Source organism: Homo sapiens, chromosome 2 (assembly GCF_000001405.40).
Source record: "Homo sapiens chromosome 2, GRCh38.p14 Primary Assembly".
NCBI lineage: Eukaryota > Metazoa > Chordata > Mammalia > Primates > Hominidae > Homo > Homo sapiens.
The window spans coordinates 182,907,723-182,935,383 of NC_000002.12; the positions used below are offsets into that span (position 1 = coordinate 182,907,723).

Genomic DNA, 27,661 nt, shown 5'->3' on the forward strand with positions numbered 1-27,661 from the left:
GAAACAATTTTTAAAATATTTACACATCTGACAATAAAACAACAGACTGTTAACTGGAAGTTACTAATGGAAAAATCTTTCAAGAAGAGATGGTATATAGAGATTGAAAGAAATCTTTGAAGAGGAAATACAGTCTCCTGCAAGCATTCATTCAACAAATATTTTACATGTCATGCAATGCAATTATTCTTAATTTTTTCCCTTCCATTTGACAATCCGATAAACAATAGAAACTATTTCCCCAGGAAAAAGCACACATGTATATAAATATTAGACCTAGGCTGGCTGCAGTGGCTCATGTCTGCAATCCCAGCACTTTGGGAGGCCCAGGTGGGCAGATCACTTGCACCCAGGAGCACAAGGCAGGATGAGGCAACATGGTGAGACCCCATCTCTACAAATAAAAAATAAAAAAATAAAAATTAGTTGGTGGTGGCGCACGCCTATAGTAACACCTACTTGAGGGGCTGAGTGGGGAGGATCATTGAGCCCAAGAAGTCGAGGCTGCAGTGAGCCAAGACCATGACATGCACTCCAGCCTGGGGACAGAGAGACCCTTTCTCAGAAAAAAAAAAAAAAAAAAAAAAGAATAAAACCCACATGGGGAATTTTTTTTTTTTTTGAGACAGAGTCTCGCTCTGTTGCCCAGGCTGGAGTACAGTGGTGTGATCTTGGCTCGCTGCAAGCTCCACCTCCCAGTTTCATGCCATTCTCCTGCCTCAGCCTCCTGAGTAGCTGGGACTGCAGGTGCCCGCCACTACGCCCAGCTAATTTTTTGTATTTTTAGCAGAGACAGGGTTTCACCGTGTTAGCCAGCATGGTCTCAATCTCCTGACCTCGCAATCCGCCTGCCTTAGCCTCCCAAAATGCTGGGATTACAGGCGTGAGCCACTGCACCCGGCCAAAATGGGGAATTTTTTTAATCTTGAAAAACTGGATATAGTTCGTCAGCCTAACTATTTAAAAGTTCTGTATGGCTAAAAAAAAAATAAAGACAAATGATAAGTTTAGAAAACATTTGCCAAATATGTGATAGACAAAAACAATTTCATTAATATGTGTACATTTTGTTAATAAGTGACCTCTTACAAGTCAATAAACATACAAAAAAGATGTTCAACCTCACTCAGACAATATTTTTCATCTATCCAATCGACAGAGGTTAAAAAATTGGATAATATCCATTGCTGGACCATGAGGACACAGGGATCATATATCGCAGATGGGAGTGTCAACTGGTACAACTGTTATATGATAATGTACCACATTTCTGGGACTTTTTAAAGCATATATATTTATCCAAGTGCTCAAATATATATATTCAGATGTTCACTACTGTATTTTTTTGAAGAATGCAATCGGACTGTTCAATAGGACACATAACACATTTAGGCTATTTCAAGATAATGGTTTATTTTGACACCACCAAAAGGAATGTAGATCTCTCTGTTTTGATCTGGAAATAGGTTCAATACACATTATATCAAATTTACCGTTTCAACCATTTTTAAGCATACAGTTCTGTGGCATTAAGTACATTCATGTTGCTGTGCAACAACCACCATCATCCACTGTCAGAACTTTTTCGTCTTCCCCAACTGAAACTCTGTTCCCTTCATACACCTTCTCTTCATTTCCCTCTCCTTGCCAGCCCCTGCCAACCAACATTCTACTTTCTATCAATTTGACTATTTTAGGTACCTAATATAAGAGGAATTATACAATATCTGTTCTTTTGTGGCTGGCTTATTTCACTCAGCATAATTAATGTCTTCAAGGTTCATTCATATTGTCTCATGTGTCAAAATTTCTTTCCTTTTTAAGGCTGAATAATATGCCACCGTACATATATATCTCATTTGTTTTTTGATTCATTTGTTGATGGACGCTCGGATTTACTGCCTTTTCTTGTATGTTGTTGTTTTATTTGTTTAAGTAAACAATCACTTTTAAAGCCAAGGTTTCCTTGAGAAGATATTTAGGGCACAGGACACCAAAATACAAATAAGTCAACTAGAAATGAGAATTTTCTGTGCTCCATTTTGAATTTGATTTGTAGTTCTCAGAATAGAACAGGGAGCCCAACCTGAGCTGAGCTTCTTGGGTACTCCTAAGAAAAACACTTCCCTGGAATCCATTCTCAGCCACCGATTTAGATAAGGGCCAAATAGCCTCCTGATCCAAGGCCACAAATTCTGTCACATTTGGTGTTCAGACACGTATAACCAAGTCTGTTGGAATGGATGGGGTGGGAATTCAGTGAAGGCCAAAATACAAAAGAAAATGATAGGGTCGCAGACAGAAAGTTTTATTCTAAGGAGTTCAACCGCTGAGCCCTAGAGTTAAGGAGAAACAGTGGTTTCTGCAAAGCTGTGGTAGCTGGCTCTTTAACTGGTTCAGACTCTACTATCTTGGAGGACTGCAGGTGCCCTGGTAGCCAAAAGGGCTCTAAGTTCAAACTCAAGGAGCTGCCTCACTAAACTCTACATCATTTTGGAGTCCAAGTAAACCTGCTGTGGGACAACCCTTGCCACCCCACTCAAGCTACAGTTTTTGATTGAGTAGGAAAGCCAGCATGATTTGTGTTTCTGCATCCAGGCAAATGTACTAAAATTCTTTGAGAGATGAGAGGAAATATTTTTCAGAAGCTTGGAGGTCTGAGTACACATGTGGGGAAAACAGTGATTATAAATTGGGCATGGATGTTAATGTATACTCATATGTGCCCACAACAGTTGGAGCCTTGGGAACAAGGAAGTTACACTGCCTCGGCAAAGAAAGTGCTTTTCTCCACTGGAACTGCAAAGGAGAATCTCAGCTCTAGGAGAGCCTCAGACCATTCAGGATTCAGAACCTAGATAGATGATGCTGTGAGGGCTGCGGCTGTGCTCTGCACTTCTGTGTACGTCGAACAAGACAATAGATGTGAAAGAGCAACCCAGAAGTTAGTCCATGTTTGGTGGAAAGGGGTCCTCAGCACCCTCATAGGTCATGCATCCTCAAAACCTTTTCTTCTAGGAAATTCCTGGCAATGCAATCTAATTTCTTCACTCCTCATCTTGAGGGGTAAGTGGGCAAACATCAAGAACACTGGCTTATCAGCAACCTTCAGAGAAAGTTACTGAGAAGAAGGTGATTGCTAAGTATTTACAGATTAAAGACTCAACCTGTATTCATGCTCTGATGGTCCAACATTATAACTTGGAAATAAAAATAAAATCCTAAGCTCCCCCCCCACATTTGACTAAACAGACCCTCTCCTGGCCAAGAGGACTTCAGGGAAACCTTAAAAACTGAGTTCCCGGCCATGATGGGATGGGAGGTTGGGCACATCTCATTATACCCCCTCCTCACTAACTACCATTAGGTGTTCTTTCCTAAGAGTTAAACAGAAACCAGCCCTTTGGAAAGACCTGTTGCACCTCTGATTACAACCAACCTCATGACTACCCCTCCCTTTTTGCTCTTTGACAACTGACCAGCATTCCTTCCTATTAAGGGAGTCCACTGACCATGGAGTGGTTCTGGCCAGTCTAGGGAAGATGCAGTGAGGGTTTTTGTGTCCTCTGCTTCACCTTTTGATGTCAGAGGGCTGAAAATCCCACCCTTGGATCATGCTAACACCACTAAGCCTTACATAGTGGGGAATTCAAACACATGGGAAGGGGATTAATTCACAAAACAGCCTATACTATATGAATAAGACCAAAAAATGGCCATCAGTTCATGACTTTATTAACTTATATAGTTAATACATGTTTTATATACTGTTATAAACAGACTATGTGAAAAAATTTGAAATATAAACTCTTAAACCATGAAAACATAAGTCAAAATTCTGTTACTTCAAATGTTAAATATTTCAGTCATCTATGAATGGCCATCATAATGATTTGAAACTAGCAAAGTTATCAGTTAGGTTTGCTATATCCTTTTTTTTCTCCCAAGCTGTTTGAGCTTTTATGTTAACACCTATACTACTACAATGAGAAAACAGATTGCTGTTGATGGGAATTATTAAAAAAAAACAAAACAAACAGAACCGCTTTTGGAGAAACTTGCCCTTATATACTCTCTTATAATTGCCTCAACAAATTCAAGATGGTTATACTTTTTAAAAAAGTTTTTCATGATTTTATTAGAAAGCAGTAACTGCATTTCTGGTAGGCCTTTCTGATAGGTCACTTGAGAATGACTTTTGCATTATTCATGCATTTTCCACAATAGACACTTCATGTCTTTGAATTATTTTAGTTGGAGTAGGAAATGCAAACAAATCGGCAAATGGACTTAGCCCTTGAAAGCTTATGTCCAGCTGAGTAGTTATATCAATCACATCATGAAAAATTCCTTTTACCTAAAAAACTGCTGAAGTTCAGAGGTTGTAATTTTTTTTTCTCAGCATAGGACAGACTGAAAAAGAAAATGAAGACCATCTTAAAATATCTTTGGATATTGGCAAAAATTTAGGGAGCTTTTTGATATGAGAAAAATATGCTTTTGCCTTTAAGGCAACATGTTGCCCATTACGTATTAATAAACTGGATTCAACAAAGACATTCTTACCCATTGCTAAAAATCAACCAACTATAAACAGTTACCACAGTTCTGTTTTTGCCAGTGCCAAAAAGATTTCCAAATCTTTTCAGCTAAAAAGCCAGCAAAGATCAAAGAGTTTTCACATGAGCTCTCTATGTGGCAATGAGATACAAGTGCCATCTTTTAGCACATTATAATAATCCTGTTGTGCAGTACTCCTTTCCAATGACCTGTAAAAATTATATATTCAGAAAGGCATTTTTCTCAGCAAAAGGGAAAAAGTACGAATTAGGAAAGGTACATTTAACAAGCTCAATGATCTATTATAAGTTAATACACTTTTTCCCCATTCTGTGGAGTTCAGAATTATAAATGCTTGGCTAGTTAGCCATAATAAAAATGGAATTTGAATGTTAGAGTGCAACCTGACAAAATGATTTATTACTCCTTCGTCATTGAAACTAATACACGCTCTAACCTTTATAGCTTTTCACTTACTCTGTTAAGCATGCCTTGCACCAAATTAAAATATGTGCACTAGCACAATACTATAGACAGATCTCAAAACCAAAGAAAGATAGAGGAAGAAAGGAAGGAAGGAAGGAAGGAAGGAAGGAAGGAAGGAAAGAATTCAGCCAGATGAACTTTAGTTAAGTGCAATTTATGTTTTTGCTAATGGCATCATACTAATTTTCCAATGCATTCACCTATCCATTGGCCATGGTTACTATCATTGAAACTTTCACTTGAGCCTCTGTTCAGTTTTGACGTTACCATGTTGAATAGTTGTTATTTGTTTTACTGTCTGCCTCCTTCATCAGATGATGAGTAGTGACCCTAGTTTTACAGTCAAGATCAAACATGTAAAGTCTGTCTCCTCCACTATATTATAAGCTCTGTGACATCAAGGACCAAATCTGGTTCATGTACATGCCAAGCATTTAGGACACTATGTCCTGTGTATTTATTGATTCAACAAATATTTATTGAGGACTGTTGTGGCTTGAATGTGTCCCCGAAAAGTTCATGTGTTGGAAATTTGGTCCCCAGTGCAGCAGTGTTGAGAGGTGGGACTTCTGGGAGGTGATTGGTTCACAAGAGCTCTGCCCTCATGAGTGAATGAATTTATTTCTAGATTAATGGATTGATGGGCTATCAAGGGAGTGGGTTAGTTACCACAAAAGTGAGTCTGTTATAAAAGTCAGTTTGGCTCTCTCTGGTGAATCCCACCCCCACACCATGTGATGCTCTGTGTTACCTCAGGACTCTACAGAGACCCCACTAGCAAGAAGGCCCTCACTAGATGAGAACCCTTGACCTTGTACTTCCCAGCATCTAAAATGGTAAGCAATAAATTTCTTTACTTTATAAATTACCCAGTCTCGGGTATTCAGCTATAGCAACAAAAAATGAACGAAGATAAGGACCTTCTCTGCACAGGGCCCTTTTGATTGCAAGAAATATAATCTAGTCAAATTAATTAAAATGAAAAAAGAGTCTACTTCCTAATTCTCATCCTCTCATGCTTCTTTGCTTCTCTGTCTGCATCTGCCTCATTCTTTTTTCCTGATCAGCACTCTGATGCTCTCTGCCCCCACAGCCTGTGGAAATACAGGAAACTTCACAATGGTGCACAGTCCATACTCCATGAAACTTTCTGCTTAAGTAGCCCCCACAACCCTCAGCCTCTTGGTTCTAACTTAGTGAGAAAACTCTGATAAGAACCCACCATTTACAAGCTATTGGACTAACTCCCCTTGGATCAGTTTTCTTCCCTCATTTAATCAGTTGTAGCCAGGGAGAAGTCACATATTGGTATCAGAGTGTGCAGTCACAGAAGGAACTCCCTTTAGCAGTATCTCCCCTTAAATGAAGTTATAGTTAGGGCAGGTAATCGTAGACAAGACTAGTTAAACTGTGTTTTTAGTTAGCTTTGTTTTGTATTTTATCATTCTGTCCTCAGTATCTAGCACATAGTAGGTATTTTAAAAACTATATTCATTGAACTGATGTTAGGATATGACATAATATATTATTTCTAACTTTTATAGTTTATGTGAAATGGGGAAGGCAAGTGGAGGGAGCTGACGTTTTGGACTCTGGACAGATACAATACATACCTGCTGCCAGGATGAATAGATTAAAACAGGCAATTTCTATTTCTTTAACTTTCCTACTCAAGCATTGTTTTTAAATGAAAACTAACTCAGCATATCAAGCTTTAAAAAACCAATTAAAAAATTAAAAGAGGAAATGGAGATACTCTAGTATGCAATTTATATGAAACCCATTACCCACTATAACCATCTTTGAGGACACTCTGCATTTTAGAAGTGCCACAATAGCATATTCTCTCCTTTTCTGGTTCCCTTTAAAACTTAAGTCACTTAGAATGACATGAGGGGTTCTATTACTAATTTGAAGAGTAAAAAGAGTAAAAAGGAACAAATTCCCCTCTAATAAATTACCCCCACAGAAAATATGCTGTGAGGTGGGAAAGGCTGATGGCTAGACCGACACTGCAGAGTTCCATTGGTAGAGATGCGCTTTGTGTAATGTTGGGAGCAAGTAATGATTTTTCCTCTTTGTTCTTGTGGAGGGATGCTTTGGGTGCTCAGAGGAGCATTGACTACCTTTTCCATCCCTTCCCTTTAAAGAAATCAGATTTTGTAAACAGTGAAAAAACCAAGAGCAGATGTGATCATTTAAGCTGGGAATGCAGCCATACCGGGTGTCAGAGCATGTTGTGAGCACCTCTACCTGGGTGTCCCCCTAGGGCTACAGCTGCTCTCAAGGTCACTTCCTCTCACACAGACAGGCAGTGAAACTCATGCTGAGGACTCATCTTCTGTACACACTTTTAAGAACTTCTACTTCCAAAGATACAATGAAGTTAATAAATGAAGCAAAGCAGATTTCTAGACTAGGCTTCACATAGGGTGGCTTGCAGCATTTAGAAGCATTTCTCTAGACACCACACCTATTTTCCAACTGTAATATTCTGTATAGAATGCAAATGTTCAGACTTTGCTTTTCAAAAACGTTGTATGGTTCACAGCTGAAGAGAGAATAGTTGAGAGTTGAGTGATCTATCCTTCAAACTACAGGCATGATATTCCTTCACTTGCCAGCAACCCTTGGACCTCTGCAAGGATGTGACAGGAATAGCACAACTCACTAGAGCAGGTATCAGCTGCTCCCTCTAGTCACTTTCTGGGTGCTGTGACCTCCAGCAGCAGAGGCATTCATTCTCCAAGGGTGTTCTATGAGCCTTATTGGTCCTCCCTGTACGATCAGCTGCGAAAGAACTGCCAGTGCAATCTTGAGACTAGATGAGGAGTTACACTGACAGGATAAAATTTCAAGGCTTGCTAATCCTTGTGCATGATGACATGAGATCATCAGACCAGCTTGACTATAGGAGGCATTTCTGTAAAGGGGTAAGATTACAGTTAAGTGTCTCACAGCTCCTGTCTTTTCTATGAAGTACTGACTCTAGCTAGGGGTGAGTCACCAGAATAAAATGATCATTTATTTCAGGACAATGACCTGAGTAGTCACTTTGAAATTTTTCTGATGGCCTCTCTTCTTTGCTCTTGGCATTTCACTTAAATTTTCAGATTTAAAAATAATTTTTTTGCTACGTGGAATGCCTTTTTGATCTATTGCCAATGCTTTCACCTTTTGTCTATTTATACAAGGGGCTCAGATTCTGCATCTTCTCCCCCTGACATCCCAGACAAGTGATTTGTCTCATTGGGAGAAATCTTAGAAACCATGTCTTCGGGGCAGTTTCCTCTCCCTCCCCGTCTCCCTGCTCCTGCTCCTCCCTCTCCCCCTCCCCCACTCCAACTCTCCTTTTCCCTCTGCCATGTAAGAAGTACCTTGCTTCCCCTTCGCCTTCTGTCAAAAAAAAAAAAAAAAAAAAAACATGTCTCTGTGTCATCACTGAGCTGCTGCTATTACAGGTGTAGAAATCCCCAGCTGCCTGTATCTCTGATGCTTCTCCACAGGAACAAAAAGAAACAGAACCACTTGTTCCCAACATGAAGCTAAGGGCATCTGTACCAATGGAGGTCTGTAGCATCTGTCCAGCCACTGGCCTTTCCTAACTTAAAGTAAGATTCTGAGAGTTACACAGGGTAGGAAATTTGACTAAACAGACAGAAAGATGAAATAAACCTAGACCGTGACCTCAAGGCAGTCCCAGAATCAAAGGAGTCAGAGATAAATAATAATTACATTATGATTCAATATGTACTATAATAAAGGCATTTATAAGGTTTAGAAGAAACAGGATGGCATGGTAAGGAAAGGGCAAGTGATGTTTGAGCTTACTGTTTACATTATGTTCAGGAGTTTGCCAGCCAGAATAAGAGAACATTCCATTCCAGAGACAGGGAACAGCATGTGGAAAAGCACAGAAGCTTCCAAGAGCAATTGTCGCAATTGTTCTGGATACTGCAATAACATTTGAAAATACAAGCTTTACATCTTATACATTTTTGTGTATAGTATATAAAAATATAGTATAACATACATATAGTATAGAGCAGTCTTAAAATTAATTTTAGCATCGTTTTCTGTTAAAGTTACATGACAGGGAAAATAATCTTTCCCATTTAAGATAAAGACTCCGATCAGAGCTATAGAATAGACTAACACACAAATGTTACATTTGCATGAGTGGAAGTTCTGATATTATAATACTCATAAAAGCCATGAAAAAACTCTTTGAAGGCAATTTTATAAGTGAAACCAAATAGCCTAATAATACTGGAGAAACTACCACCATTTACACTGAATGCCTACTTTGTGGTAGCCTCTTCTTCCCCACCATCTCATCAATTTATACGCATGATCTTATTTTAATGCTTACAATAGCCCTTTAAAGTAGATATTATCCACATTCTACACTTAGGGAAACAAACTTGGAGAAGTTAAGTAATTTGTCCATAAGTGACAGAGCTGGGATTCAAACCCCAGATTTGTTTGAGGCTGTGGCATCATACTTCAAGTCATATCCACGTCCAAAATCCTACCAGGAACCAGTAGCTGTTTATCATTATGAAGACTATTACTGCATAAACATAAGATCAGCATATATGCGGCAACACAGCACAGTGGAAGGAACACTATATGAGCACATCGCCACATATGTTAATTTGGTTAAATTACCTAACTCTTGAATAGGTTGAACCAGATAATCTCTAAGGCTCTTCCAGCTACAAATGACTAAAATGCTCCATCATTACAATCATTGATACATAATAGGTTGCCCATTCAAGAATTAGCTATTATCTTGAAAATAAGTTCATCTTTCATAAAGGCAGAATTAATCCATCAATCACATTTAGAGAGCTCTTGGCACGAACTTTAATATTAGACCAAGTGTTGTATGTTCCAGTGTAGGATCTCACTTCAACAGCTGCGTTACCTTCAGAAAATAGTAAAAACCATTTTTGTTAACATAGAGAGTAAGTACTGTGTGAGCTTGAGATTTAAAACTAAAACAAATATTTTTAACATTCACAAATATGTGACATATTATCTACTATATATGTGGGATAAGACAGCCTAGGAAAGAAATCTGATTTACTAGAGATTAATCTGAGCAGGATCAGAGAGAAAAAGTGAAGAAGCAAAGAAGCAACTTAGACCCATGAAGGCCAGAAAGTGGGCATAGTGTCCCCAAGCCCACAGTCATTTACCCAGGAAATGTTTTTTAGTGCTTTGGGAAAGAACATGATACAGTAGAAAAAATATGGGCTGGAAATCCTAGAGCCTTAGGTTTTAATCTCAGCACTGCCACTCAAACTCAGTAATTTTATGACACTGGGGCAAGGAATTTAAAGTTTTATGAGCTGGTTTCCACATTCATTTACAAAAATAAAGAAAACAATCCCTATTGAGTAATTTGGTTGTGGAGTTTAAATGAAGTAATGGATATGAAAATGTCTAGTATCAAGAGTAGCATAATGTAAGCCCTCATTGTTATTTTTTTTGTCCCTCATTGTTAATGTAAAGCAGTTTCAAATGCTACTGGATAGAATTTGATCCAGCAATCCTACTACTGGGTATCTACCCAAAGGAAGTCAATATATCAAAAAAAATCTGCATGTGTATATTTATTGCAGCACAATTCATAACTGCAAAGATATGGAACCAACCTAAGTGCCCACTGACCAATGAGTGGACAAAGAAAGTGTGGTATATATACACACCACGGAATACTGTTCAGCCATAAAAAAAGAAACAATGTCTTTTTGCAGCAACTATGATGGAGCCAGAGGCCATTATTCTAAGCAAAGTAACTCAGGAACAGAAAACCAAATACCGTATGTTCTCACTTGTAAGTGGGAGCTAAGCTATGTGTATGCAAAGGCATACAGAGTGATATCATGGACTTTGGAGACTCAGAAGTGGGAGGATGGGAACGGGTCTAGGGATAAAAAACTACACATTGGGTACAATGCATACTACCTGGGTGACAGGTACACTAAAACCTCAGACTTCACCAATGTATGATTCATCCATGTAAACAAAAACCCACTGTACCCTAAAAGCTATTCAAATTTTTAAAACATTAATTAAAAAATGCTATTGGTTAGAAAAGTCCACACTCACATTTGAGAGATCTGAGACACAGTTTAATGAGAAGAACACAACTCTGGGGCCAGATTTAAATGTTGGCCTCTGCTACTTCCTTGTAGTGTGAGTTTGTAAAAATTGCTTTGTCTTTCCTGAGCTTCAGTTTCCATATCAATAAATGGGGGTCATCATGATATAGGATTACTGTGAAGACTAAAAGAGCAATATTTAGAGGTTTGAATTAGAGAAAACAGAGTATCTGGTACACAATGGGCTTTCAATAAACATTAGCTCTCATTATTATTCTAGTCAGCATTTTTGGCTTGATAAAACCACAACTACCAGTTAAGGTCAAATTTTCCCCTCCTAGCCATCACAAGTTCTGCCATCTGGGCCTTGCTTCAGACTGCAAAGACCCTTGTACCTTTTGGCTGAAGGTAAGAATTCAGAATGAACTGACATTCAGCATTAACCTGTAAAGTTGTGTACTACCTGCTCCTCAGCTTCAGCTTCAACCTTTGCAAGATCTAACAGTTAAATGGTTAAATGACTACCTACTTCAATGTGCTTTCTGGCAGCCAGAATCTGCATGCAATCAATGACCATGTGACTAACGTAAGTTATGGTCATACCTAATTAGTATGACATTCTGATTATTAACTGGATATTTCCTCTCAAATAAAGATAAACATTCTATATGTAACTTGGAGTGAAACTCATGTGTTTTATACATTGAATGCTATCAGTTCAAGGGTGAATATGCCTTCAGAATGCAAGTGCTTTTTTTTTTTAATGTATTATAATTTTTTTTTTTTTTGAGACAGAGTCTTGTTCTGTTGCCCAGGCTGGAGTGCAGTGGCATGATCTCGGCTCACTGCAATCTCCGCCTCCTGGGTTCAAGCGATTCTCCCGCCTCAGCCTCCTGAGTAGCTGGGATTACAGGCGCGAGCCACAAAGCCCAGCTAATTTTTGTATTTTTAGTAGAGACAGGGTTTCACCATGTTGGCCAGGTTGGTCTCAATCTCTTGACCTCAGGTGATCCATCCACCTTGGCCTCCCAAAGTGCTGGGATCACAGGAGTGAGCCACCGCGTCTGGCCTTAATTATTATCGAGACCGGCTCTTGCTCTGTCACCTAGGCTGGAGCGCACTGGTATAATCATGGCTCACTGCAGCCTCGAACCACCCACTGCCGCCAACCCTCCCCTTGGGCTCAAGCAATCCTGCCACCTCAGCTTCTCAAGTTGCTGGGACTACAGGTGTACACAATCACACCCGGCTTTTTCATTTTTGTATTTTTTTTGTAGAGATGGGGTTTAGACATATTGCCCAGGCTGCTCTCGAACTTCTAGGCTCAAATGATACCTCTGGCTCCGCCTCTCAAAGTGTTGGGATTACAGGCGTGAACCACTGTGCCTGGCCACCAGTACTTCTTACGTAATACTTGCTGTAGAGAATCTCTTTCTACTCAAGGGAAGATGCTAAAACTGGTGTTCATGCAATTAAAGATGACATGAACATAGACATTCAGAAGCAACACTGTCATCTTGAGAGCCACATCATTCCAGTGTCACATTTCTAGAACCAAAATATGAGTCCGTGTGGGCTGCTATAACGAAATGCCTTAGTCTGGTTTATAAAGTTTATAAGCAAGAACTGTGAACAATAAATTTGTTACTATAAAAAAACTTCTTGCTTATAGTTCTGGAGGCTGGGAAGCCAATCAGTGTGCTGGCATATTTGGTGTTTGTGGAGGGTCTGCTTTCTGGTTCATGAACAGTGGCTTCTTGCTTTGTCCTCACGTGGTGGTTGGGGCAAGTCGGCTGTCTGGGGCCCCTTTTACGAGGGCATTAATCCCATTCATGAAGGCTCCACTCTCATGACCTAATCACCTCCCAAAGGCCCCACATCCTGTCACACTGATGATCAGATTTCAACATATGAATTTTGTGGCCAGGGGGACACAAACATTCAGACCACAGCACAAAGGTTAGGGACAACTTCTTAAGTAATTGTGTGATGCAGCAAACACATGCATAAAAAAAAAATCAGAAATAATGAAAGTAAACAAGGGCAACATTATCTTAGGTTTGTCTCTGAAAACATTCAGGACGCATCACTGAGTAGTGCACAGTTTTAGTCTGTGAGCACGCTTCAGTGAAATTATATCACCACTGACCACAAAATCTTCAAATCCCAGAGTTGAAGAAAACACTTTTAGTCAGTTACTAATGGAGAAAAAATAAATATAATTTGGTTGCAACCTCGTAAGTTGCTTCCTGTTCTATAATTTAAAATAACTATCTTAAATTAGTAGTTTAATGAGTGAGCAATTTAGCACCTGATACTGCTGAGAAATTAATGACTCTGCACTGCATTAAATTTAAAAAATGAGCTTTAATAAAATTACAGTAAATTTTAAATATGATTTCCTACTTATTCATGGATTCTAGAAGCTTATTTTATGATGGTAATCTTCAGTTTAGGTCTTGGTGAAATAATTTCAAGCCTTAGCCATTGGCATTTGGTCAGTATGTGTATGTAGTGTACTATGAATGTGACTCAGCCATATACTACAACTGAGACAAGGCAATCACCAAGGTCACATACCTAGTACAACCCCATCTCCAGGCCACCCATTTACCAAGTTTGTGGCCCTCATGTAAGAGGTGACCAAGATGCACCTGCACCAAGAGCACCAAGAGGATTGTCTCAATCCTTAAGAGAAAGAAGAAGGTAAGGGCTGGGGATGAGGGGTGCACTTAAACCAGAAATGAGACATGGCCCTCTGTGGCTAGGATCCTAACTTCAGATTGCTAATTTATCCCATTTTACTTAGGCCCAAAATGACAGGCTGAATACTTTTATTGGAAATGAAACATTCCAGAGTTAGACATGTTTACTCTGGACAGTCAAGGACAGCGATGTGTAGGGAAAGTTTGGTTCATGCAAAAATGAATGAAATTTTAATACACTTAAAGTTACTTCTCACTCTGAAAATAATACCAAAGTAGAGTCAATAAATATTAAATTTCCTTCCAATTCCACAGGACCAATTAACGAAAAACATAATTTTTGTACTACAGAATAAAAATTTTAAAATCTCAAATATTTTTTCCCAAAGGCAGAGGTCATGGCAAATCTTCGGAGAAAGAGAGCATTTTGTCTATTTGAAAATTCAGGCTCAGGCCTTCAAATGAAATGATGGTTCATGCTGTCATTTCAAGTGACTACAAAGAAGAAATGAAAGAAAGATGTAAGGAGTCACTACTTTAAGGATTATTCACAAAAGTCTTAGGAATAATACAGGTGAAGTCTCAGAAAGGCAAGTCCTTATAACAGAATGGGCATGGATCATGTACTAATCAGTAGGTTACAATTCACTACCTTACAGAATTTGGGCTTCATTTAGAAGGCCTGATGGTGTACAACAGACTTTACATTTTCACATTAATGCAAGAGCCTATCAGTGAATTCATGTTCATTTCCTTTATTAACCAGCCTACATTAGATTTAATTTGTGAACTCTGCTATATAAGCAAAGAAGAAAGCAAGCAAGCACATGATCAGAAGAGAAAAAGAGCTAGATAGCCCATAAGGCTCCTAGAGGGAACTTGAGCACTCCTCATGACAGAGACACAGATGACACACTTCTAACTTCTCAAACATGCCAAGTTTGTGCTTGCCTTCTGGGTCTTTGCCTTTATTATTCCTCCCCTCAGCCCACTTGTGGTTCCTTCTAATCCTTCACGTACCAGCTCAAATGTTTTCTCTTACACAGATGACACTTTCTTCTAACACTTTCTTCTAAAGTAGTTTCACCACTGCCTCCCCACATTATCCTGTATACTTTCCAGTCACCATCAGAAGTTTGCTCATGGCTGGGCGTGGTGGCTCATGCCTGTAATCCCAGCACTTTGGGAGGCTGAGGTGGGTGGATCACCTGAGGTCAGGAGTTCGAGACCAGCCTGGCCAACATGGTAAAACCCCATCTCTACTAAAAATACCAAAAATTAACTGGGCGTAGTGGCGGGCGCCTGTAATCTCAGCTACTCAGGAGGCTGAGATGGGAGAATTGCTTGAACCCGGGAGGCGGAGGTTACAGTGAGCCGAGATCAGGCCATTGCCCATTTCCTGGGCAACAAGAGTGAAACTCCGTCTCAAGAAGCTGGTTTGTTTATTGTATACCATCACTAAAATCCAAGCTCAACTATAAAAGGGTCACCTTTTTGCTCACCATTACATGCAGGCATCTAAAAATACTTGCTTAAATAAGTGAATGAAAAAGCAGCAGAAAGGAAGCAATTTTACTTCTGAAAAATTATTCTAAAAAAATAACAGGTCAACTTTACCAAGATATAGATATACATTTATAATAATGAAAAGAAATTGTCTAAAAATCTATCCAATCTATCCAAATGAGTATTTTCTTTTTTTTTTTGAGACAGTCTCATTCTGTCATCCAGGCTGGAGTGCAGTGGTGTGATCTCAGCTCACAGCAACCTCCTCCTTCCGGGTTCAAACAATTCTTCCACCTCAGCCTCCCATGTAGCCAGGATGATAGGTGTGCACCATCATACCTGGGTAATTTTTGTATTTTTAGTAGTGTCAGGGTTTTGCCATGTTGGCCAGGCTGGTGTTGAACTCCTGACCTCAAGTGATCCATCCGCCTTGGCCTCCCAAAGTGCTGAAATAGGCGTGTGCCACTACGCCTGGCCATGAAATTGTTAAATTAGTTATGGTATCTATAAAGGTATTAAAAAGAATATTAAAGACATTTTTTCTACTACTGAGTGAAATAAGCAGATTACAGGCCAGTATGTATGGTATGATCACATTAATGTAGAGAAAACAACAAAAATAGTATGTTGTTGTGTAAGTTTAGAAGAAAATAAAACAAACAAGATATTAAAAATAGTAGTTGTCAATTTACTTTTAACTTTTTCCTCCAAGTTACCTTTGCCACGCCTCCTCCCCCGCCTTTGCTGTATGAGAAAAAATTTGGACAAAAACTTCAGGTGACTATGAGGAGCGATTTTTTTCTCAGCCTAGCAGTGGTAGAGAATGCCTTATTTTCATCCTTATGCCCTTTCACATATGATTCCAAAGTGTACATATCCAAATTCCTACTTTACCTCTCCAGAGATCACTGCCAACAAAGTTATTACCTCTCTAAGATCCTAATATTTCAAAACAAACGGCATTAAATCTTAGTTTTGACTGCTCACTGTGTAAATCAGACTATTTCAGGTCTGAACTATGCCATTTTAAAATTTCCCTTTTTAAAAAATCTTTATGGAACAAGTACAATTTTTCGACAGATAGTGACAACTACTCCCTACTTTAAATATAGGCTGGACAAATCATACACAAAATAATAGCATAATCTCATAGTACTTCAATTTCATTCTACTCTCTATGTTTGAAGAAAGAAAAACATTATAACTGAGTTCACAGCAGCCTTCTTTTATCTTAACACAAGTTACCAGTGTATACATAAGAAGCTGTGAACAGAAGCTCTTTATGATATTCATATACAAAGCTGCTGAGAAACAGCCTCAACAATGCCAATCAAAGAGCAAAACATTGGGTTAGTTTTCAAACTAAATGAGCTGCTTTGCCCTCCATGCCAACTATTAAGCAATAGGCCCTTTTATGTCTTTCCCATTCATTACTGACTAATGCAGCAGTTCTCAACATTCTCACTAGTCCCATGATCACTCAATTTTTTTTCCCTATTCTTTTAAATAACTCTATTTGGTTACAGATAAAATGAGCAAGTTGACAGCATACAAGTTTTCTTTAAGTTCTTAATTTTTAAGAAGTATTGTGTAATTTTATTTTCTAATTTTGGTATTTTTTTCAATAAAATGTTTTTTAAAACATTTAAACAAATCATATAATAGCTGACCTGGTATCGAATGCTGTACTTAGACATTCCTAAACCATTATTTTTTATATTTCAAACTAAGTTTAAACAAAAACTTTATTATTATTGAACGAATATCCAAGGATCTTAAAGAAATCAATCGAAGTGTGATACAGTCTAGTGTTTATTTTATGTTATGGCAGGTACACTTGAATTTCAAAAATTTAAAACATATATAAAAAGTGGTTAGGGACTAACATTTGTATCAACAGTTGATAAATGTCTAAGATTGTTTATTATACAGCAGGGTACAATGGTAGTGCTAATGCCAACAGGGCACCATGGAAGTTAGTCTAAAAATTATCGCTAGGCTTTATACAAGCAACAACATATGCTGCTGCTCTTAGAATTTTGGGAAATGATCTGCTTCTAATACTAAGCAGTTCTTTAACATTTTTAAATGTTATACAGTGTTACAGTATTTAGTTTGGCAAATGTTTCAAAATAAAGTAGAAATGTATTCATAACATCACAGAAATGCACATCCAATGTTGTTTTCAATAAGAACCATAGGTACAGATCAGAACTCTTCCCTATATGAAATAATTTACACACAGATGAATACTATAATATCACTATCTAAAATAATCACTAAATACAGTTCTTTTTCAGAAATAAACAAGCAAAGATTTTTTTCATTATCAAATATCAAAAACATGTTGATAATGTATGTTTTTCAAATAAATGATACTTTAAAATTATAGGAATAATCTCAGTGAATTCAGTGAATGTGCAACCTAAATCAACCAAGTATACTGTAGTACAACCATATTAAGAAACCAATGATCAGAAAATACAACCGTATGAAAGAAATTTATAATCCACAAAACTTTTTCAGGTCTTAAGGTAAAATAGTTCCACAGTCTACAGGTAAAACCAAGGCAACAAAAATGCGTGCTTATCTTGATTAAGTAGGTAATTTTATGCAGAAGATGTAACACTTTGTTTGTAGACAGCATGGTATGCATTTCTCAGCAAGACATAAGGAAAACAAGATTCCAAAAGATCCATTGTAAGGAATGGAGATTCTTGTACAATCTGTAAAATTCAAAAAATCCATCAAAACAAGTTATTTATAACTTGTTTATAAACAAAAATCATAAGTTATTTATAATGGGAACATTTATTGACAACCAGTAAGGCATAACTTCTATATTGTTCTTATTAGCAATAGACACATATTATTTTCCTTTTACTTAATCTAAAATGTAAATGTGCCACAGTGAATGTATATCAAACTGTTTAAAAAGAGCTACTTTTCAATTAAATTTATTTAATCAACAGGAATATATTGAGCACTTTCATTTTCCTCACTGATATACTAGAAATAAAAGACAATACAAAAATATTTTTTTTTTGTACTATCAACTCTACCTGGCAATCAAAGACTAAGCTAGGAAGCAAAACCAAACATAAGACCGACTATAATGAAATGGAAAGCTGTAAATTCTGTAAGAATTCAAAACAGAAGAAAGATTAATGTAGGCCAAAGTAATCAAGAAAGACTATCTGGAAAAAGATTTGAGCTGTGGGATGTGCTAAGTCATTAGGATAAATCCAATTTCTGCAGGTAAGGAAAATAACTCTAAGTGGGGAAAGAGCCACGTGGTAGAAACAAGCAAGAGCTGGTTCACAGATACTGCAGAGAGGGAAGTGACTAGGCACAGAGAATTACAGAAAATTACGAGAAATGGGCAGAATAGAGTTAGAATGTAGAAAACTCAGAAAACTGGAAGAGAGGTGACACCAATACACTAGAAAAATACAAGGCCTGAGTGTTTTCCAACAGGTTGAAAAACTGTTCATAAAAGAATACCCACAGTTAATGCTAACCTTTGATTGTTATCTTCTGATATTACCGAAATGATAAAATATGAGTGATGTCAGTCTTCTCTGCAAATTTTAGAAAGGTGTGGCTTACGTGAAGTGAACAAAAGGGATCAAAAAAAGTATTCAATGACTAAGATGCCAAGAAAAGATTCTCAGGAACGACTGGAACTTTTTTATTGTTAGTAAAAATTAAAATGAGACTTACCATATCTAGCAGTAAATAAACAGATTCTCTATTTCTTGTTGTAGTTTTATCTGTCTCCTGGCCAATTTTCAGTAGACTGGAGGATGCAAGCTTAAAAGTATACATACACATAAAGTGAGTTTGTTAATAAAAGGTTCATCGGTTACTTATTTTAGGTATGTTTCAACTTCCAACACATTTCAATCATTCAGTGCTAAATATAAAATAATGAGCAATTAAATAAGATGAGCTTAGATAGCCTACATTCAAGCAGTAATTTAGAGAGTAATTAAGGCACAAAGAGACACTAACATAATAAATGTAATCAAATATTCTTATTGGTCTTTAAAACTGATTTTTTCAGAACAAGTCTGCTTTTTAAAATGATTCAAATTATTTTCTCTTATCCCATCCCATTATCTATACTGACTATATTTCTTAGTTCCCAAGGAAGAAGACAGTTTCACACTGGATTTGACTTCACAGAAACACTGTAAGATTAAGACATTAAACCCTGAGTGAAGGAATTATTTGCAAATGGAAAGAAACACTTAAAATTTTTAATAGTGTTTTCCTTGAAATAGAAGTTATTTTCTCCTCAAGTTAGTACTATATTTGCATTTGTAATTTAAAAATTATTTTTTAAAAAAGCTGACAGGATTTATAACTGAAAAAGAAGTAAATGTTCTAGAGTTCAGTATGCCATGGTATATCTTTCGTTTAAATAAAATATGGAAAAGGTTATATTAATAAAGAAAAGAAAGAACTACATTGATAGAGAAACTAAAAACCATGTTTCATGAGGCTACATTTAGCACTCCTCTCTCTTGGTAGTGAGTAGTATTTTTAATGATGAATTTTTCACCATTAATTGTCTTTCTCCAAAGAAATGGAAAAAAGTAAAATATGTCTTTTTAGAGGGAATAGCTTCTCTCTTGGCCTCAATTTTCCTTTGCTTTTTTTCTCTTTCAAGCCTAGGAAAATTTCTAGGGCAGTCCAAACATCAGCTTGGGGAAAAAAGGTCATATTGCAGAGCTCTAGAGTTGGGAAAGAGACTTCCGAGTCTAAGGGAAATAACGGACGGCTCCTCGATTTTAATGCCCCACCTTCACCTGTTTCTCCCTCCAAAAAAGAAAATAAACAAATAAAAATAAAAGGAGACTGAAATTCATATACCTGAGAAAATAATTTGAAAACAAAATGCCATTAGAGGACACTAAATAAAATGTAAAAATAAAGAGAATTTATTCTTACATTTTGTGGTTGTGAATTTTAGTTTTCTTTATAAAATGTGATGAGTTTTGTTATTTGATTATACATACCGCCAGAAATTCTTTAAGACGGTCTTCAATGCTTCCTTTGTGAATTGTAAACAAAGCTGCAGCAATCTGGTTGATGGCTTTGGCCAAGCAATGTATGTTGTTGCAATGCCCTGAGAAAATGCAAATAGGGTTGTGTAGACCCCAAAATAGCAAATAATACATAGAAGGCAAATCTTTAATGACTTCACAATCTGCATAAATAGGGGCATAATTAAGAGTAGAGTTGGGACATGACCGGACTTGCTCTCCTTTGACTTTCATGAACACTGATGTTTTTAAAACTAGTTTAACAGGAGAGTAACAAACGATCGTGTATATGTTAAACAGGCAAACACTTCTGAAAACATCTAAAAGAAATCACACATCAGTTTTATAGTAGCTCGGAAATAAAAAGGAAGTGCTTAGCTGCTTTACAACATTTTACCATTCAATCCTTAAAATAATCCTATGAGTTGGATAATCCCTCACCGACCTCTACACACATTCAGGCACACATGAGCTTACTTACACACATTTCATATATCAGGAAACTGCAGTTTAGGAAAAGGGAAACAGACTACCCCATGTTCCACTGCCAGTTAGTGGCAGAACTTAACTCATATTTTATTATAAAATACCAAAACCCATGATTTATTCATCGCCAAAACAATTTTAAACCACTATTACCTTCTATAGCAGGGCTGTACTGAGACATCACATTACTGGCCAGTGTTGGCAAAGAAACTGCCACAAACACCATGAGAAGGCAGGCAATTTTATACTCTTCTTCTGGACTAATGTTTTCTAAGAGACAAAAATTAAGAATAAAATCAAGGTATTTCTTCAAGATTAGTTAAGATTTGATAATCTAAACTAAACAGATTTTTATTTTAAAAATGGTTTACTTTTTTTTTTGAAATAGTAAACTATTTTACTAGCATTCTATAGAATTGGTCACAATTTTGTTATAAAAATATAAAGTAGAAACAGTTTATATTACAATGGACTATTATCAACTACTTAGGCATATTTCAAGGACGTCTGATAAAACAGTAAGGTAAGATTTTATTTTTTTTAATTGTAAGATTATAGAACAAAAAATACAGTTAGGATAACTGCAATCCTACAATTTCCTAATTGAAAACTAATGAGGAATTATTACTTTATGAGACAGTTCTATTTACAATTTAGAAAACTTATAAATTATTCTGCAAAATCACCAAAAAAATCTTAATTACTTTTTGAAAGAGATATGAATATAATTTGAAATTTACTATTTAAAAGACATAAATGTGGAAAGTGGAATGGGTTTTCAACCTCTCTATTTTAGAAGACAGAAGAAACTAGTCATGAATAAAAGAAGACAGAAGAAGACAGAAGAAACTAGTCATGAATAAAAATACCCAGCATTGCTCTAAAGCTTTCAAGACATAACCCTTTCTAAAACATTTATTGTGATATGCACTCAAATTGTGGGTTATTTAGGCTACTAATCACCATTAGATATAATTAAGAATTGAATGTAAGAAAAGAGCTGAAATATGTTTTAAAGATTTGGTCGACTACAAAAAATACAGCTGTAGCAAATCAAGTAATAATTATAATTATCCATGTGACTAAATGTAACATACTGTATGAATGAGGAAACAAAATTGCATTGTTAAATGAAAAAAAAAAAAAAACTGATGAACTCAAACACCATGCTGCTGCCTCAAGGAGGCAGAAGGGGCATTTTAGTAGTAGAAAGAGATGAAATGCTATATTTACTTTGTAGACAAATCAAGAAATATCTACAGGATTCTGAGTACTGCATTTCTAAGGGCTGGTCTTAAAAATTTCTAAATGTTTTATATAAAACTCTTGATGGTGAATAACTCTAGTACAATAAAAACAGAATACCCTTTCCTAGATCTCAATTTTTTGCTATCTACTGGACCATCTCCCATTAGCATACAAATGCTGTAATCTCCTCCATCTTAAAAAAATCCTTCTCTTGACTTTGCTCTTGCCTCCAGCTGGTGAGATTTTATTTCTTTGCTTCCCTTTACAATAGAACTCTTTGAGTTGTCTTCTAGTTATCTCCAAATCCTTTCCTCCTGTTCTCCCTTAATCTCCCTTACTCACTACTCAGCCTTTTGCCCATAAAACCTCACTGACACTGATCTTGTTAGTACCACCAATTAACTCTACATAGCTGATCATTTCCTTTCTATCTTCCTGGAAGCTACCCTTTCCTGGTTTTTCTTCTACTTCATTGGTCCTTTCTTCTCAATTTCTCTAAATTTCTTTTTTCGTGGTTTTTCCTTTTCTCCCTGAGCTCTTAAATCTTAGAATGGCTCAAGGCTCAGACCTGGATCCTCTTCACTGCTGCATCTATATACACTAAATGGCTCAGTAATCTCAACCAATCTTAAGTTCCAGAAGGGTGATGTTTGTGTTTTATGCACTGATATAGTCCAAGTACCAGCAATAATAATAACAAATTTAAAAAGCTGAACACAAAGCAGGCATTTGAATATATGGTTAAATATCATACCTATACCTATGCTGCCCTGGTAACTTTAACTAAGAGTATTAAATATTTACTAATGCATTTTACCCGATTTTTGTGAAGAAAGAGCTACGACCAATGCAGGATCAATCTCACAAGGTAATCCGGCAGCTGATGATAACTCATACACATTCATTGCAACCTGATAAAAACAAAAGAATTACAGAGCAATAAATAGTCTAACAAATTTCTGAGAAAGCTCACTGTTTATTAGAGTCTGCCTAGAAGAACACCAGAGAATTTCGGAAACTTGGCTGAAGCAGAAACTACAGCAAAACTAAGTATACTGAACAACTGATTCAATGTAGGTTGAATACTGTGAGGTGCTGCTGGTTCTAACTTCCTACTGCTAGGCCAAACAAAACTTGTATACTTTCTGTGGCACATTCCAACAGGATAATTCTAAAGTTATCACTTTGCTTGGAAGCATGAATATAAAATATCAAGTCAGAAAAGATGAATAAATGAACAAAGTGAATCAATATTACTAGACCTGTGTTTATCTCCATAGTGGTTTAATGAAAAATTATAGTGGTTCAATGTCTAATCATATCGTATCTATAAATATAGCAAATTACTTATAATAGTTTTTTTAAGGAGTATTCATTTAAAAATCTGATAAGGGAATTTCTAATAACGAAAGTAATTTTTCTGTATCACATATAGATTTCAAATATTCAAGGCATTCTGACTGCTCAATAACCTCAGAAGAAAGCTATCTATATAACTGGTTACCTCTGATATTGCGACAAAAAACCTTAGTATAAAATACGAAGTAAAATAGTATAGCTTAGAAAAACTGGGAACATGGCAGGGATTAAGTTCTAGATTAAAATGTTTGTAATCTATTACTCACTTCACACACAAAAATTAACTCAAAATAAATCATAAACCTAAATGTAAGAGCTAAAACTGTAAAACGCTTAGAAAAAAATATAGGCACAAATCATCATGACACTGCATTAGGCAATGGTTTCTTAGACTGACACCAAAAGCACAAACAAACCCCCAAAAACAGATAAAATGGACTTCATTGAAACTAAAAGACATCATCAACCTATAGAATTAGAGAAAAGATTTGCAAATCATGAATCTGTTAATGGACTTGTATCCAAAACATATGAAGAACTCACAAATAGAAAAAGACAACCCAATTTAAAATGTCAAAGGCTTTGAATGGTTATTTCTCCAAAGAAGATATAGAAATAACCAGTAAACATATGAAAACATGTTCAACATAATTTGCCATCAGGAAAATGCAAATATAAACAATGAGATGCCACTTCACACTCACTAGATGGCTATGATTAAGAACACAGACAATTACAAGTATTAGTGAAGATGCAGAAAAAATGAAACCCTCATACAATGCTGGTAGGAATGCAAAATGACACACCCAATTTGAAAACAGTTTAGCAGTTCCTCAAAAGGCTAAACATACAGTTTTCATATGACCCTGCAATTCTCTCCTGGTATATATTCAAGAGAAATAATACACGTTCACACATTAAAAACTTGTACACGGATGTTCACAGTAGCAGTGTTTCTAATAGCTAAGAAGTGAAAACAACCCAGATGTCCATCAATTGATGTGAATAAACAAAATGTTGTATACCCATACAATGAAACATTATTCAACAATCATTAAAAAAAGTACTGATATATGCTGTAATATGTATGAATCCTGAAAATATGCCAAGTGAAAGAAGCCAGTATCAGAAGACTACACATGATGATTTATGTAAGTGTCCAAAGTAGGCTAATTTAAACAGAAAGTAGATTAGTCGTTGCCTAGGGCTGGGGATGGGGGAGAAGTGGAATGGGGAGTGACTGCTAATGGGTACAAGGCTTCTTTTTGGGGATGATGAAAATGTTCTAAAACTGACTTTAGTGATGGTTGAACAACTCTGTCACTACACTAAAAACCACTGAATTGTGCATTTTAAATGAGTAAATTTTCTGATAGGTGCGTTATAACTCAATAAAGCTGTTTAAAAACATGTTTTTGTTTTTTGTTGTTTTTTTTTTTAAAAGTTAAGTTCTATTGAAAGTTTGCTGGAAACTAAACATGATTATGTCAGGTGAAAAGTGAATGGTTGCTCAGAATATTAATTAGAATTCTTATAATTCTGCACATCAGTGTCTTCTCAAGAACTGATTAGTTTTTGTCTCCTTAACTTTATTTTTTCTGCAGTGTTTCCACTTAGGAAATCATTTTGAGCTATTTGTACATAGTTTTCAATCATAGAATCACAAGACAATCACTGATCTCAAATGTTTATTCTGCACAAAACACTGTAAGAGAAACAACAGCAACAACACCAAAAAAACAAAGTCTGGGTCTTCAAGATATATACCATTTGGTATAAATATAAGTAGAAAAATAGAATTATAATACAAGGCAGATTATATTCAACTCCACAGGAGATAAACAAGTTCTCTGATAACACTAAGAAAGAAGAAGTTCTTTATCATTGGAGAATCTAGGAATGGTTCTTAGAAAATGGCAATTGAATCAAGCCTTAAAATACAGGCAGGATTTCAAAAGGCAGAAAGAGAAAAGGTTGGTATTTTCAAGTAGAATAAATTAGAAGGTAAAACAGATAGATGTGAGAATGCAACAGAAAGATCTAGTTAGCTCACAGAATACCATATAAAAAGAGGGACAGAGTAAGAAAGAGAGTGAGAGAAGGAAGAAAGAAGTGGCAGAAGATAAGCCTCAAAAAGTTTGAGTGGCACCACATTTTTTTTTTTTTTTTTTTGGAGACGGGAGTTTTGCTCCTGTTGCCCAGGCTGGAGTGCAGTGGCGCAATCTCAGCTCACCACAACCTGCACCTCCTGGGTTCAAGAGATTCTCCTGCCTCACCCTCCCGAGTAGCTGGGATTATAGGCATGCACTGTCACGCCTGGCTAATTTTGTATTTTTAGTAGAGATGGGGTTTCTTCATGTTGGTCGGGCTGGTCTCGAACTCCTGACCTCAAGTGATCCACCCACCTTGCTCAGGTGATCTGCCCACCTCGGCCTCCCAAAGTGCTGGGATTAGAGTCTTGAGCCACCATGCCCAGCCTGAGTGGCACCAATTTCAGAAGAGTCTTGGTGTCATACAAAGGAGTTTAGACACTATTTTTTTCAGTCGGTGTTTTTCAAGATATGTGAAACAGAAACAATCTCTCTAAGAAATGTGTCAGCTTAGAAAACACAAATGTAAACCCCGATATATCACTTACTAGATGTATAACCACTGGTCAATCATTACTAGGATTAGATCAATAGTTGGATTTCATGGCTCAATAGATTTTCAAAACAAAAACTGTAAGCTCACAGAAGTCTGCCAACCTGCTGTTTTATATATATATTACATATAATAGAATACTAAAAATCTTTTTAAAATTACAGCCTACAATTACATCCTTTTATAAGAAATGACTTAACATCTATCTTAAACTTATTGAATTTCATTGTATTTAAAACGACTATTATTTCATTGCTTCATCTTTCTTTTTTTTTTGAGACGGAGTCTCATTCTGTTGCCCAGGCTAGAGTGTAGTGGCAAGGTCTCAGCTCGCTACACGCTCCGCCTCCCAGGTTCACACCATTCTCCTGTCTCAGCCTCCCGAGTAGCTGGGACTACAGGCACCCGCCACCACGCCTGGCTAATTTTTTTTTTTTTTTTGTATTTTTAGTAGAGATGGGGTTTCACCGAGTTAGCCAGGATGGTCTTGATCTCCTGACCTCGTGATCTGCCAGCCTCGGCCTCCCAAAGTGCTGGGATTACAGGCGTGAGCCACCGTGCCTGGCCACCTCATCTTTCTTAATTTTCTTTATCACCATGTATAAACAGCTATCCATTTAAGGAAAAAAAAAATCTATTTTTAGTCAATTTTGCATTGCTATAGGTGATCAAAGAAGACTGACTTTCAAAATGCCTAGGTAGTATTTTGGTGCTGAGCTCTCAAAGATTCAATTACAAAGGCAAGCATGCTAACTAACCACTCTAAACTAGAAACCTTACAGTAGTTTAGGATTTATTACATTTTCTTGCATATGTAATTTAAATATTTCGCTTTAGAGACTGTAAACCCCAACTATAAATTATATTATTACCTTCATATCAGTTTCCCTTGGAATGTGATCCTTAAAATCTTCAATTGAACTTACAAGAAAAGGAATGTGGTAGGATAAGACCTAGGCAGGATAACAAATAAGAATACAGAATTATTTTTAAATGGCAACCCCTAAATTTACAAAATATTACCAATTGATTAATTTTAGTTTTCATAAAAATTATTTTACTTTATCTACTTTCAGTGATTTTTCAAAAATTTCAAGACATATGAAAATTAAATGGATTCAAAATAATTCAATATTAAAGCCAGTATAGTCAAAATTGAAAATACTCTACTGATAATGAAGATCACTGAAAAAGTAGTGCAATAACCACGCAAGTTATACTCTGCAAGCAGCAGTACCAAAACAAAAAATGAGCTTAAATAACTAATTTTATGTATGTTATTTTCTGTAACTACTAAAACTGGAATTTTAATTATATCATTGCTAAGCATGAATCTGAAACTTAACTTTAAATTTCTGAGAAATTAAAAGGGATTGTTTGGATACCGAGTATATACTTGTAATGGTTTCTTACATCTCTAAGTGCTTCTTGTGCCAATGATCGGAAGGATAAAATTACACCAATTATTGTCATCCTCTTCAAGACACTGTCAACAGCTAAATTC

At 36.5% G+C, this 27,661-nt stretch overlaps 1 protein-coding gene across 4 annotated transcripts in view; it reads right to left on the minus strand.

Annotated features, from left to right (window-relative positions):
- Positions 1-1,392: 1,392 nt before the first annotated feature.
- The window catches only part of NCKAP1 (NCK associated protein 1), a 129,343-nt gene continuing 103,074 nt past the window's right edge, over positions 1,393-27,661 (minus strand). For all 4 annotated transcript variants that reach the window (NM_001437266.1, NM_013436.5, NM_001437267.1 and 1 more), the window contains 7 exons: positions 27,571-27,653; positions 27,030-27,110; positions 22,973-23,066; positions 21,061-21,177; positions 20,395-20,504; positions 19,094-19,183; positions 1,393-18,096 (listed from right to left, as the gene is read on the minus strand). In NM_001437266.1, the coding sequence (NP_001424195.1) occupies positions 17,980-18,096; positions 19,094-19,183; positions 20,395-20,504; positions 21,061-21,177; positions 22,973-23,066; positions 27,030-27,110; positions 27,571-27,653 (692 nt within the window). In that variant the 3' untranslated portion in view covers positions 1,393-17,979. The remainder of the gene's footprint in view (positions 18,097-19,093; positions 19,184-20,394; positions 20,505-21,060; positions 21,178-22,972; positions 23,067-27,029; positions 27,111-27,570; positions 27,654-27,661) is intronic.